This window comes from Homo sapiens, chromosome 12, assembly GCF_000001405.40.
Source record: "Homo sapiens chromosome 12, GRCh38.p14 Primary Assembly".
Taxonomy (NCBI): domain Eukaryota; kingdom Metazoa; phylum Chordata; class Mammalia; order Primates; family Hominidae; genus Homo; species Homo sapiens.
Window position 1 is genome coordinate 2,054,489 of NC_000012.12, and position 13,704 is coordinate 2,068,192.

At 47.8% G+C, this 13,704-nt stretch overlaps 1 protein-coding gene across 55 annotated transcripts in view; it reads left to right on the top strand.

Moving 5' to 3' along the window:
• Positions 1–13,704, top strand: part of CACNA1C (calcium voltage-gated channel subunit alpha1 C) — a 727,171-nt gene that overhangs the window by 83,709 nt on the left and 629,758 nt on the right. The window lies entirely within an intron of this gene.

A 13,704-nucleotide genomic window follows, 5' to 3' on the forward strand; every position in this document is an offset into this window, starting at 1 on the left:
GGCCGCGAGTGTCACCAGCTCCCCCTGTGATGGTGAAAGGCAGTCAGGTAACTCCCTACTTCCTGGAAACTTTCTCCCTCACCGCTCTCCCCCCATATTAACAAGTTGTTTTCTTGGACGTTGCTTAGCATTTAAGGTTTTGGGGACGGGGGGTGCAGACAGGGTGGTCCAGCGGGGCTTTCTGGCAACCTCCAGGCATGACATCTCTTTCTTCTCGCCACTGCTCTGTCTCTTTGGGTGTAGTCTCTCCCTTTTCTCTCCCAGTTCCCAGAGCCTCCCTGTTTGCACTCTTCCTCTTCTCTTCCCCTGAAAGCCTATCTGTCACTGCTGGTCTCTGTTCCTTCCCTGGGTTCTTCCCAGTGATCCTCTGAAGACCAGCCTGGTGGAAGGAGTTGTCTCCAGGTCTTTTTGTCCAGCTTTTTCCCTCTGTTTGCTCCCAGCTCCACCTTTTGGGGACAGGGCCTTCACTCTTTAGAGCCAGAAGCTGCCATCCAGCCTGCCTGGTCTCCATCTATCCTGAAACCGATTTTGGGGCCAGTCTTCTCTGCTTTCCAGCATGGGTGGCAGCTTGGGGATTGTGGCCTCCTTTGGAAGAAAGAATCTTGTCAAGGGTCATGGGTTCTAGGGTGAGCCAGAGCTTTGGGGTCACAAGGGCAGTATCCATGTTTGGATTTCTCTACTGTTGACCCCATCCCTCACCTGATCCCCTCTCCCTTCTGTAGCTGATGGGCTAGTGAATGGTTTAGGAGGGAAGGAGTGAGACACAAAAGAGGGTGGTATTTGTGAAGAGTGGGGATGCAAGATGACTCCCCTCCAGGTTCTGAGACTGCGTGCTTTACCCACCTCCTCAGTCTAAGCAGCATTGAAGAGGAGAGCTCTGTAGTATTGCCCTAAGTATCACTGTCAATGGCAATGTACTGTGGTAATAATAGTGATTATTCACCTTATTCACAGGATGATAATCTTAACTAGTTTACAAGGTCTCCTCTTAGTGCAGGATAAACCCCTTCTGAACCCATTTCCTTACTCTGGTTGTTTTCTTTGGCCCCTTTGCCTCTCAGCATCTCCCTGCTGTATGCTGGGAGCAGACATTAAAAGTAGGAGTGCCAACCCCAGAGAGGTTCCTGAGAAAGGTAGAGGGGAAGGGAGCAAGGGAGCCAGCGGCTGAGAGCTCTACCTTTCCAGCAACATGCCAGCAAACGCTATGGCAACCTGAATTCCAGTTCTCTCCCTTGAAGCTGCAGTGATTATATAATTCATGGGAGCAGTTTTGCCTCCATTTCTAGATGCGGTTCCCAGGTGGAAGAGCACCAAGATCCCTGTCTCCCCTCTACTCTCCATCTTCTCTTCTTTAGTTGGTTGGCATTGCCGAGGTTGTTGGGGTAGGAGAGGGGAGGAGGGTGGTGGAGGTGGGAAGGGCAGACCTAGAACAGAATGAATATTGACAAGGAAGAGGTTGCTGTGGCTAATCACTAAAGGGGGCGGGTGAGCCATCATAGGGGTTAGAGTTTCAGGAGACAGAAGAGGAGTCTAGGACTGCCTCAGAAGATCAGTAATGGTGACGAAACAAAGAGTCGAGAACCAAAAAAGTTGTCAGTGGCGGGGGCTGTGCATTCCTCTCTTCCCGACATGCTCTGAGATGTGGAATGCACCAGTCCTTGCTCCCTCACCTTTTCCGTGGAGTGTGTGCATGTGTGAGTGTGTGTGAGTGTGTGTGTGTGTGTGTGTGTGTGTGTGTGTGTGTGTGTGTTGAGGGTCGAACTGGAGACTGGAGGTCAGTGCCTGGGAACAGCCTGGAAGTTCATTGAAGGACCAGCTTCTGACCCTGGGTTTCAGGCTGGGGTGGCACACTCAAGCCTTGCCTCGCCTCTGGTGCCCTGTCTGCTCTGGGCCTGTGCCAGCCTCCCACTTTTCTGGGCCGATTTTCTATTGCAGGCTCCAGCTAGCAAATGAGTGTCTTAATAGTCAACCATTGAACAAATAAAACACCAGAATGTCCCTTATCTGCTAGAGACAAGGCAGAGGGGAGAAACATGTGTTTGGGGAGTGCAAGACACACTGTGCTTTTCTTTTAACTACTTAGCGATTCAGCAGAATAAGAATCACTGTAATAAGGTAATAATAATAATGATCACAGTTAACTTTCTTTACAAATGGTCAGAGAACAACATTGCTCGCACATCAGCTTGAGCAGGTTAAAGAAAGCTGTGGCAATAGCTTTGCTTTTTCTTGATCCTGCATGGAGAAAACTGGAGGAAAGGGGCTATTGGAGTTCATCATATTATTCCTACTATTGGTCAGGCACTTTTTAGTGTTTTAGAATATGACAATATATTAAAAAGAGTCAATTTTTCATTATTTCCATAGAATACACACTAACAGTATTTAAGTGTGTGTGTGTATACATACACACATGGAATAAGGAAAAGCTATTTTAAATAGATCACACGAGAGGCTAATGCCCTTCAGGGACCTGGGGTGTTGAGAGAGAAGTATTGATAATGCAGTCTCCTAAGACTGTTTAAAGATTTCTTCTTCATAGTAAAGGGAGACTTGTTCTTACAGGTAGATGCTGCAGGCACAGTGCTTTGTAAATGAAATGATGAGCCGTTAGCCCCGTGGGACCATCTCTCAGTCTTGGCAATGACCTAGGTCTCTTCAATTTGTTCTTCAAATAAAACTGCTTGAGTTGGGTTCTTCTGTAAGACCTATCAAAGGGATCCAAGGAGCATACTGACTGGAGATTTCGAGGCCCTGCTCATCTTGGGATCCCTGCTTCCTAGTACAGGCCGCTGCTCAGTCCAGGGCCTCGATGCAAGGCTGAACAAATAAATGTCTGCGTGAATGAATGAATGCGACCTGGCCAGACCTGCAGTAGATGTGGCTTCTGCCTCTTCCAGTAGGTGGCGCCACAGGGCTTAGGAGTCAGGAAAGGGGCTTCAGGGTCCGCCTGGTGATGAAAGGTGTAGGGGGAGTTTAGAGCTTGTGACCTGTTGGGGCTGTGCTGCTTCCATCAGGCCCACACCTGCCCCGGCACAGGTAACCCAAAAGACCAGTGTGTCTCCGTGCCGCCGCACACACTGGAGGCCCTCGCGGCATCACTGAGGGACCCAGGTCCCACAGTGACCTCTCCACCCTGTTGTAATGAGAACTCCTTTGGAGCCCACCCAGTCCGTCGCAGGCTCTTCCCACAGACGTCTGTTCCCTTCCAGCACAGACAGCATCCCGCCGAGCCTGGAGGAAGCCTTTTGGGTGAATCGCTGAACTTGGTATGGCCAGATGTTAATTTTCTCCCTGATTTTTCACTGATGGTTTAGTAACCAGAGGGCCCGGTGGTGCCCAAGCCCAGTGGAGCATGGGGTGACCTGAAGCATGGGATCTGGGAACCCAGACCTGTGCAGTCACAGAGCTTGCCAGCCAAAGGCAGGAGGACATTTTCCTAACTTTAATAGGGAAAAGAACACAAAAACAACTGGGTGCACTTCACAGTTGATTTCCGTTTATGAGTCTGCCTGGATCTCCTGCTGGGTAATGGCAGAAAAGCTCAGGAGACCCAGGTTAGGAAGTAACTGAGATTTGTTCTAATTTCCAGTGATGTTTTCCAGCGCCTGGCATTTTCTTTTCTATTCCTTTCTTCACTCGGTTTTCTTAGTTGTGTGGCAAGTTCCATGAGGTCTGAGAAGCCCTTGGCACTGTGCTAAGAAGGGGTGAGTGGCTGGCAGCACTTTCTTCCTTTTACAGTAATTCCTCCCGCCTGATACAGCAGCTGTTTGTTCTGTAGGAGGTACAGGTCAGCCGGCGTCATCTCACCTCTTCCTTGCTGGGACCCTGAAATCAGTGCTGAGCATTCAGATTTAGCAGACAATTTTATTTTCCAATATGGACTACAGAAAGCTGATAGACTGTTTGCGAAACACCTGGAGACTTAACAACAAGCCTAATTAACAAAATAATCACACTGATTTCATCTGTTTCTAGATTCCATCCTCACAGTTGCCTAGGTTAATGTTGGGCACTGTGGAGGAGAACAGAAGATTGGTTTTAAAAAAAAAGGCATGGGGAATTGTTTTGCAACATATCAGGTGCCAAATATTTAGGGACAGAAGTGCTAAACATTCTGATAATGAAATAACACTCTGAGCCATGGCTGTCATTATTAAAATAATTTAGTAAACACCTGTTTACATGTACCTCAAGGTTAGATACCACGTAAAACAAGTAAAAGTGACAGGATCCCTCGGGGAAAATGGAATGGAATGTTTTTCGGTGTCATTTCGAAGCCGGGTGTGTAGACTTAAACTGAACCCACTGCAGAAAAAGCAAAATGGAAGGCTGAAATAATGAATGCCATCATTTGAACTGAAACCTGGGCACTCCAGAAGAGCTCTTCTCTGTGTTTTAATTCCTAGATGGGGTGCTTATTTGCTCAAGACCAGGCTTTCCTGAGCCTGTGTAGACACGGGCCTGGAGCAGGTAGACAGACCCTCTTGGTTTCTATAGTTGAGGCACCCCTGGAGGCAGCTGTTTATCATGGCAGGAAGGGAAGTGGATGCATTCTCTACTGCCCCCTTTCCCCTGCCGAATTCAGGCAGGACCCGCGCAGGTCCCTGGAGAACCTTGCTTCAGTGCTAGCTGTGTGTACCGTGTGGGCAGGACCCCAGCTGGGAGATGGGGAGCCCAGGATGACCCCACAGAAAAGCAGAGCTGTGAGATGGCTGGAGCCTCCGAGAGCTGAGATGCAGAAGGTGAGGGGAAGCCAGAGGAGCCCCAACTCCCTAGGGTGTCTGGGAGGGTTTGGGGAACAAGGTCATCAGGGTAGTCAGTTACTCCTTGTGGAGCTGAACTGAATTTAAGTTGGGATTGTAGGGACTGTAGGAGAGAAGTTTGGGCCTGGAGCTCAGGAGTCGGACCGAGGTTGAAAATAGACCCTTCCTTCCCTGGAAGCCGAGGGAACTAGAGGAAGGGTTCATCTGGCTGAAGCAGAGGGTGAGGAAAGCGGGGGTTAACTGGCAAGAAACCCAAACCTCTCAGCCCCTCCCCTCCCCAAAACCCCACAGAACAGTTCTCTGCAAAACACCTTCACTTTAAAATGGGCTTCTTGTGCTATACCCTGTGTGTATAGGGGGCAAGGGGCTAGGCTCTGGTTCGTTAAAGGGTTTGTCAAACATAGAATAAATGTAATGTCTCTTTGGGAATTTACTTTCTAGGATCAGGACATTTTATGGGTAAAGGAACCTTAGAGACAATCCTCATTTCCAGTTGAGAAAACAGAGGCCCCTAAAGGTTCATGGAGGCAGGGATGTAACTAAATACAAGGTCTTCAGTCTCTTCATCCTCCTGCCTGTACCACACTTGGTGCTGGCCCCCTGAGAGAGCATTGTTAGTGCTTCTGGCTAAATTTTGCTTGGTAGATCTTTCAACCTCTCTATTCTTCCTCCCCCTGCCTCCACCTTTGTACTGCCTTAAAATAATTTCTGCGATGTTAGATTTAGGAATGGAGTTGGAAGGGTGGGGTGGGGGAAATCTATCATTGGAAAGGTTTAAAAACACTTTCTTAGGCTACAGAGTAGAAGTTCATACATGTCCACAAGAAACTCCTGCAAAATTCAGATCACGATTTTGTCTGCAAACAGATCTGCCTCTAAGCCTTTTTTATTTGCTCACTTCCTCTCGGCCCCAATCTAGGCTTGTTTCAGCCCCTTTGCGAGAGTGGGATGGGGATGGGAAGCCGGGCTGTGCTGTGGGACTTCCCTGGTGAGCTGCTGGGATTCTTCATGGACCAGCTGGCATTACCAGTAGCTGGGGTATAGACACACAGATCAGCCCCAGGGTAGAGACTGTGAGACAGGCTGCCACAGACTCCACCTGAGCTGGGCGACCAAGGGCGTCTTTCTGCTCCCATGTCAGGGTTGGTCTCCTAGGACCCCCGGCCTACTCCCAGGAGACATTCCCAGCAGTGGTGGTAGACTCAGCCCATGGAAGAGAATCACTAGGACCTGCCTCTGACATTCCCATCTTCCTTGAAGTGTTCATTGGCTGACTTGTTTCATACTCTTTCAAGTCATCTCTGAGAAACTGGAAGGCCTCTGAGGCTGACTCGGTCTAGCTTGAAGACGGAGGCATGAGCCAGGCTCATGCTTAGAGATGTGGCTTTTGAGTTCCCTGGAGGAAGCCATCATTTCAGAACATAGTGTTGTGATAATTTCATGAAATATTCAAGCTGCCAATTTGCCAACAGGGGTTTCTTTTAATACACTCGGCTACACTTGGTGTTGCCCACTTGAACCTAGCTAAAAGGAAAATAAAATAATCTTGTCTCCTGTCCTTTAGAGAACCAAGCCAAAATCTAGACAGTGAATGAATGTTCTTCTCCATATTGCCTGTGGGCAGAAATGTTGACTTGAGTACTCAATTAAGCTCTATTTACTTTATAACCATTGTGTCATGTACAGTCATTTATATTCCTTTCTTTCTTCCAAAATAATCTACGTTGGGCTAAAACCTTTCAAAGACATTAACAAAAGTAACAAAGTAAATAGCTAAAGAATAAATAAGGCTGTAGGCTAGAGAAATGACTTGGGTCTTGGGTCACATTCTTTGACTTCATCTCTTTCTCTGAGAGTTCAGAAGGAATCAAATCCCTTTTTTTTTTTTTGTCTGTAAAGTGGAGATAATAATCCTTAGCCAATTCACTTCGCAGGGCAGCTGTGAGGATCCAAATAGGAGAATGAGTGTATATCGCTGTTCAAACATCAGCTACTCTTATTCTCCCCATCAGCGAGCAGAGCACCAGAGTTTGGAAAAGCAACGCCATGAAGTAACATTCACAGCATTTCAAACAACTTTGGAGGTGTTGTGGGAGGGCTGACATTATTCAATATTTTAAAGGTGAAAATGTAAAACAAAGAGAAACCAGAGTCTGAGGTGGTCTGGCTGATACCAGAATAATCAGGGAGGAAGTGAACCATTGGTTGAGATGGGCCTGGTATTTTGCCCTCCAGAGAGTCTAGGAGCCTGTGGCCAGTAGGCTCCCAGGACGGTGGAGCCATGTGCACTGCTGGCACTGCTGCTGTTTCCAAGCTGAGGGTGAGGACATGGGGATGCAGGGTATCCGACGCCTGGCAGCTGTCCACCTGCCATGCTGCTGTCCCCTCACTGCCACCACACATGGCTGCCTGGCTTCGGCCTCAAGTCCAAAGCCACGCTGGCCTGAAGTCCTTTCATGGCCTGAAAATAGGGCCATTGAGGGCAGGAAGAACACCACCTGGGCAACCAATGTCTCCTCACTTTTGAACGTGAATTCCCCAAACCTAAACCCAACTTCCCAGTACAGGAGGACGGGCTGGAAAATAAAACTTTGCTTCAAAAGTAAACTTTGGGTTTGGAAAATAAACTTATTTATTTTTCATAGCCAAAATGTTGCAGGTTTGGAGATAGAGGGGACAGTTCTGTGTAGCTCCCTAAGACACTGATCAAAATAGGAAAGAGCTTTAACATTATAGTCTAAGTGACAGGATTAGTTTTAGTTTCCCAAAGCAAAAATAATCCCATCATCAAAAAGTATGCTGGGAAACTTTCGCACTTTCGCATTTGTTTGCACCTTGTTCTACCCCCAGCTCTGGTCCTGTGATCTGTGGAGCCATATATGTTTTAATTTTTCTCTAAAGAAAAAAAGCTGTATTGAGGTATAACATCTACCTTGTTATAATTTTAAAATAGAGCAAGAGTAATAGCCACCATTTATTGAATGCCTAGCATGTGTTAGACAATGTTCTTGGTGCTTCATGTGCTTAATATGTTTTATCCTTACAGTAATCCTACCACGTGGGTTTTAATTATATTTTTTAGATAAGGAAACTGAGGACCAAAGTCTTAAGCAATGTGGCCACAGCCACCCAGACAGTGTTGGGGCTGGGAATTAAATTCAGGTCTGTCGGACTTTCAAAACATTTGCTCTTTCTGTTACTTCTCCCCATGGAGAACAGTAGAAAGAGAAACCCACTATCTCTCTATCCTGGGAAAATGACCTTGTCCTTGCCTTCTGGAACCTGGCTTAGATTTGCCTTGTGGAAGCTCAGAGCTGGAATCCTTGTTCTTACTTGATGGCTGCATGTTGTCGTGGTACCCCGCCTCCCCTCCTGGTCCCGTCCTCTGGCTTTCTTTCCCCTTATTCCCAGGGTTTCTGCCAGGGCCCTCCTTGCTTCTTCACATCTCCTCACAGGCCTTCACAGACCACCTAGGTCAGTACACCTTGTCTCCCGGGGGACCCATTTGTGGCATGGCCTTGCTTCACCACCCATTCTTGGAATATTTCCTCAGTCACTCCCTCCAGGAAAATAGACACTCTCCATTCTCAAACGAGATTCCCGTGAGTCCCGGGGACCATCCCTGTAAGCTGAGCTCTCCAGACTTCATGCATTATTTATTTATTTATTTTGAAATAGCAGCTTTGTTGAGGTATAATTCGCATACCGTAAAATTTACCCTTTTGATGTGTATGATTCAGTGGTCTACCTACTTCCCCAATATTTTCATCACCCGCAAAAAATACCCTTTACCCATTGGTAGTCACTTTTCATTCCCCTCTCTCTCCAGCCCTTGGCAACCATGAATTTACTTTTGTCTCTATGGATTTTCATGTGTTATTGACAGCAATAATAATTCCTTTTTTTTTTTTTTCCTGAGGTGTAGTCTCGCTCTGTCACCAGGCTGGAGTGCAGTGGTACGATCTCGTCTCACTGCAACCTCCGACTCCCTGGTTCAAGCGATTCTCCTGCCTCAGTCTCCTGAGTAGCTGGGACTACAGGCACCCACCACCATGCCTGGCTTATTTTTGTATTTTTAGTAGAGATGGGATTTCACCATGTTGGCCAGGATGGTCTCCATCTCCTGACCTCTTGATCCACCCGCTTGGCCTCCCAAAGTGCTGGGATTACAGGCGTGAACCACTGTGCCCAGCCAACAGCAATAATAATTCTACAGTTGGAGTTTGCTGTGTAGTCTGACTGTTGATAACATATCTCACAAATTTCAGACCTAGATAGGTCATGACAATTTACATGATAAATGATGACATTGAAAGGAAGCACGTGAAATTAGGGAGCTGGCTGTCATTTGGAGGTGGGATTAAGCGTTTTCTTTCAATTATACAAAAAAGTGGTTTTAGCATTTTTCAAAGGTATCTTAGCATAATGTCTTCAAGGTTCATCCACGTTGTACCATGTGTCAGGACTTCGTTCCTTTTTATGGCTGAATAGTATTTCATTGAAAGCACACGCCACATTTTGCTTATCCATTCTTCTGTTGATGGACACTTGCGTTTTCACCTTTTGGCTATTGTGAATGGTGCTGCAATGAACACCAGTATTCAAGTATCTATTTGAATCCATTTTTAGTTATTTTGGGTTTACCTAGGAGTGGAATTGCTGGCCCTGCAATATGACTTTTTAGCTTTAAGAGCCCACTTCCTTGGGTAGTGCCCCAAATTTGAAGCCCACGTAGATGAGACTACAGCATTAGGAAATCCTATTGTGTCAGTAGTGAGGGTTTGGTATTTAGTCTGGGCTCCCAGTTCCTATACCAGAAATTTGACTTTAATTGGTGTTTCACAATCTGACAGCTGCCTTTTGATGAGGAGTGACTGATACTGCCTCTGTTCAAAAAAACAAAATGAAACAAAAACGAAACAAAAAAAACCGGTGTCTCTATATCCAGTTCAGCTTTCACCTCGTTGCTGACCTGGCTTCGTAACTCAACAGGAAATTGGTGTTTGGCAAGACAAAGCTATTTAGTCTGTCTCTGTCTCTCCCTCTGCCTGTGTGTCTAGTCCAGGAGCACCCATGTCTGTGGCTAGAGATGTGGGCCTGATAAGCCTGGGGACTGTTGGGAGAGGGTGGCTCCCCTCATGTGTGGCTGGGCCGAGTCCTCCCTGGACTGTGAGGGGGAGGCAGCTCTGTGCTCTGTGCTGGCCAGGTGCTGCCTGCCCTGCCCCAGGCATGACTGATTAATAAGGGATCTCTGCCTTCAGCCTGAAAGCTGCCTTCAGAGGGGAAAAGCAGCTTCCCAGGGCTCTCACCTGCTCCTCATACATCTAAAGTCTAGGCAAGAGAGGCAAAAACGTGAGAAGAAAGGTAAACAGTCCGGGGAGAAAATTGGGAAAGGAGGAAGGGGAGAGGGAAGCGAGCAGTGGGTAGACAGCCAGGGGAAACAGCAGCACGTGGTAGGCTCTTGGCTGTGGATTGATGCCCCAGTTAAATGACTCTGGAAGCCTCTTTCCAGTCTTGGGATAGGTATTTTCTTGGTGATCATTTTACCTAAGAGTGATAATATCATCGGCTGCATTTCTGTCTTAGCATGTTGAACTCTGCTAATCTGAGGAAGAAACACACACATACATTGATGCCTCAGCTGAACCCATTAATCAGAGACCTGGGTATGGATAAAAAAGCGCACAGGCTCATGGAGGTATGTGAAGCTCAGAAGACTTTGCACTTTGAAGGCCAATGTACTTAATTTAATCCAACCGACTATTAGTAAATTCCTCTCCTTTGGGCTCTGCCCTCACACCCCCTCACTGGCCCTGCTCACAGGTGCCTCTGGGCCGCTGTGCAGAGCTGGAATGTTGCACAGCATTTCTCCAAGGTGGAAGCTTCTGTTGCCATATCTGGCTGCCTGAGACATCCTGGGGATTCGAGCTATACATCCAAGTGGATTTCAGTGACTCAGAGCTCATATTTGGTCTGTCGTGAATAGGATCTTGTGCCTCTGTTTTTAAAATTATTTAAAAGGCAAAAATTTTGACCTATGCCCAGCTGTCTGAAAGACCAGGAGATAAGAAGCCTTTTCTAGGATAAATTGACTGTGAAATATCTCTGAAAATGAACTGTCTCATGCCAGTTGTGATGAAAACAATTCTAAATAGTTTTTTTTCCTCCAGAATAGGAATGGTTAGTCATTAACAAAAAGTTATTGAGCGTCTGCTATCTGCAAGGCAGTTTGCTTATAGGATCTCTGGATTCAAGGGTATCTTCAAGGTACAGCCCTCAACTATCCCTTCCTTTAAGGGAAGTATCTATTCTAGGAGGTAAGATTTATGCCTAGACACACAGACATCCGCAACTGTAATAAAAGGCAGAACATGCTTGATGTTACAAGGATATAAAGATAAAGGCTCACAGATTTAAAGAAGAAGGGTGGTATGGAAAGATGGAATAAATGGAGGAAGTGTTATATGGAGGTTGTGACTGAGCCGTCCCTTGAAGGGTGGATAGAAATGGGGTGGAGAGGAGAGGCGCACATTCCCAACAGAAAGGGTGGGATGGCCTGTAATGTATTCACAGGGATGTGCGTTGGATTTCAAAGGAGTAGTGAGTTGAGTTTGGCTGGAGCAAGGTTTTGCAGGGGGAAGAAGTGGGAGAGAAAGTTGGAATGGCAGGAAGGGGATAATGCGTGGAGCACCCTGTATTGGGCTGAAGAGTTTGCATGGCATTTGGTAGGCAATGGAGGGCCGTTTAAAGTGTTTGAGTGGAGAGAGGGTATACTCAGAGCTGCTCTTCCAGGCAGCAGGCTAGAGGATAAGGTAGGGGAGTCGAGGCTGCAGGTAGAGGGGCAGTTCTGAGGCTGTTGCCACTGTCCAGGCAAGAGAGGGAAGGAGTGATTTTCCCAGCAGAAAGCCAGAGACAAGGGAGCCCTGTGCTGTGATCTGGATGGGAAGGGTAGAGGTTGTATTTGGAGGCAAGTAGAAGATGCCCAGCATGCACGCAGAATTAGAGTTCTGTCTAAGAAGGTGCTATTTGAAGCTGTGGAGGTGGAGCCATTGGGGAGAGAGAGAGCAGAGGGAAGGAACGATGGAGAGCTGAAGACAGACAGGAGGAGGGTAAAATGGAGGAGACAATGACAGAGTAGTCAGGGAGGTAGCGGGAGAGCCTTACTACTGCAGGGTCTTGGGGATCAAGGCAGGAGAGCATTTCCAGGAGGCCGTCATTGCTGAATGGAGTCGTGAAAGGGAAGATGGGAACTGAGAAGCCCGCTGGATTGAATGATTGGGCTGGAGAGTGGGTTCAGAGTGACTGTTGTCCCGCCGAACTGTGCAATGATGAGGCGTGGTGGTTGTGAAGCAGGGGCAGCACATGGGGACCACTCTTTCAAGAATTTTGGCTGTGAATAAAAGGAGAGGGGAGGGATTTGTTGGCACATGAGAGATTGGAAATGCAAGAGAGGGGAGCAGATGGGGAAGAAGGCAGTAGGCAGTGGCGTTGGGGATGGGAGTGGAAGGCTCAACCCCAGCAAAGGAGGTAGCACTCTGTCTTCAGAGGCAGACATGCAGTAAAGCAGGGGATGAGGAAACGTAGAGGGGCATGGGGGGAGCTGGAAAGGAGGACAGGAGGGGCCTCGGGCAGGGGTGCTGAATCCTGGGAGGGATGAGGCAGCTGGAGTGGGGCCTGAGCTTGAGGAGACCGGAAGAGGGAACGGTCAGTGGGAAACACTATGAGACACCCAAAGAAATCCACAAGGGTGCCCAGGTCCCAGAGGCACCGGCCGAGGTCTGGAAGCATGAGTTAGGGGCCAGGAGTGATTGGCATTCCTAGAGAAAGCTTCCCCAGAAATGAATTTGGCAAAGTGAGACAGCTGCTGACTAGGTCTGGGGGCAAAGGGTTCTAGCTCTGTAGGAGGCGTGCCAAGCTCGAGCTGGTGTGGGAGAATCAAGGTGGCCAGTGGGATGCAGGAGCCAGGATGCATCGTTTTAGTGGGAGTCAGGGAGTCTGAATCCCCCAGCCTGCCTCCATCCCAGGTGGATTAGTCATCAGAATAGCCAATGGGCCCCTTGAGCTCTGAGTGGATGCACAAAGGGCCAGGTGGACTTTCTTTGGGGAGCATAACAGGAAGAAGATGACAAAAGCCTGGGTGGTGGAGATGGTGGCAGTTTAAGGATGTGGGCTTAGGACTGTGGACTAGGATGCACGTGTGTGTGTGTGTGTGTGTGTGTGTGTGTGTGCGCGCGTGTGCGTGCCTGTATGTAAGGGCAGGCACATGAAGACAGACTTTATTGGTTTCACAGTTTGGCCTCCAGAGGGTCTTCTGGGTGCTGACACCAAAGCAGAGAGAGCTCGTGGTGTGCAGCCCTGAGGTCACGTTTGTGACGTGGATGGAAGGAAGCAGGGGATGGGAGGACTGGTGGAGGTGGACGTCAGACACCAGGCTTCCCACAGACTGTCTTGGGCATCAAGGACAAGGAACCTGCACTGTTAACCTCAGTCAGGGCGCAACGGTAGAAAGGAGGAGTGATGGGGCAATCAAGACCACAAGTGCCAACCTCAGCGCACTCACCTGGAGAATACTTACCTTCACACTGTTCCCACCCCTGTCTTTCCATGCCCTTCCATCCAAACCAAGCCCAGCTTCACAGCCTATGATATTGGCTCTCTGGAGAACCGGTTAGCCTTTGTGGAGTGTTAAGCCCTGCGATTTTATATCCTTATAATTATATCAGAATATCAAATTCCTGAGAACAGAACATTTTGTTATTTTTTTCTTCATCCTCTCCCCTGTTGTAATCCCACAAGAAAAATGTTACAAACCACTGGAAAGCCTCTGGTTGGATCCCACTTGAGCTTTACAATGCCTTGATTTCCCTGTAATCAAGAAAAATATGATATCCTGAATGTTTCATGAAAGGATGTGAGTCTTTGATGCCAAGGACAGTAA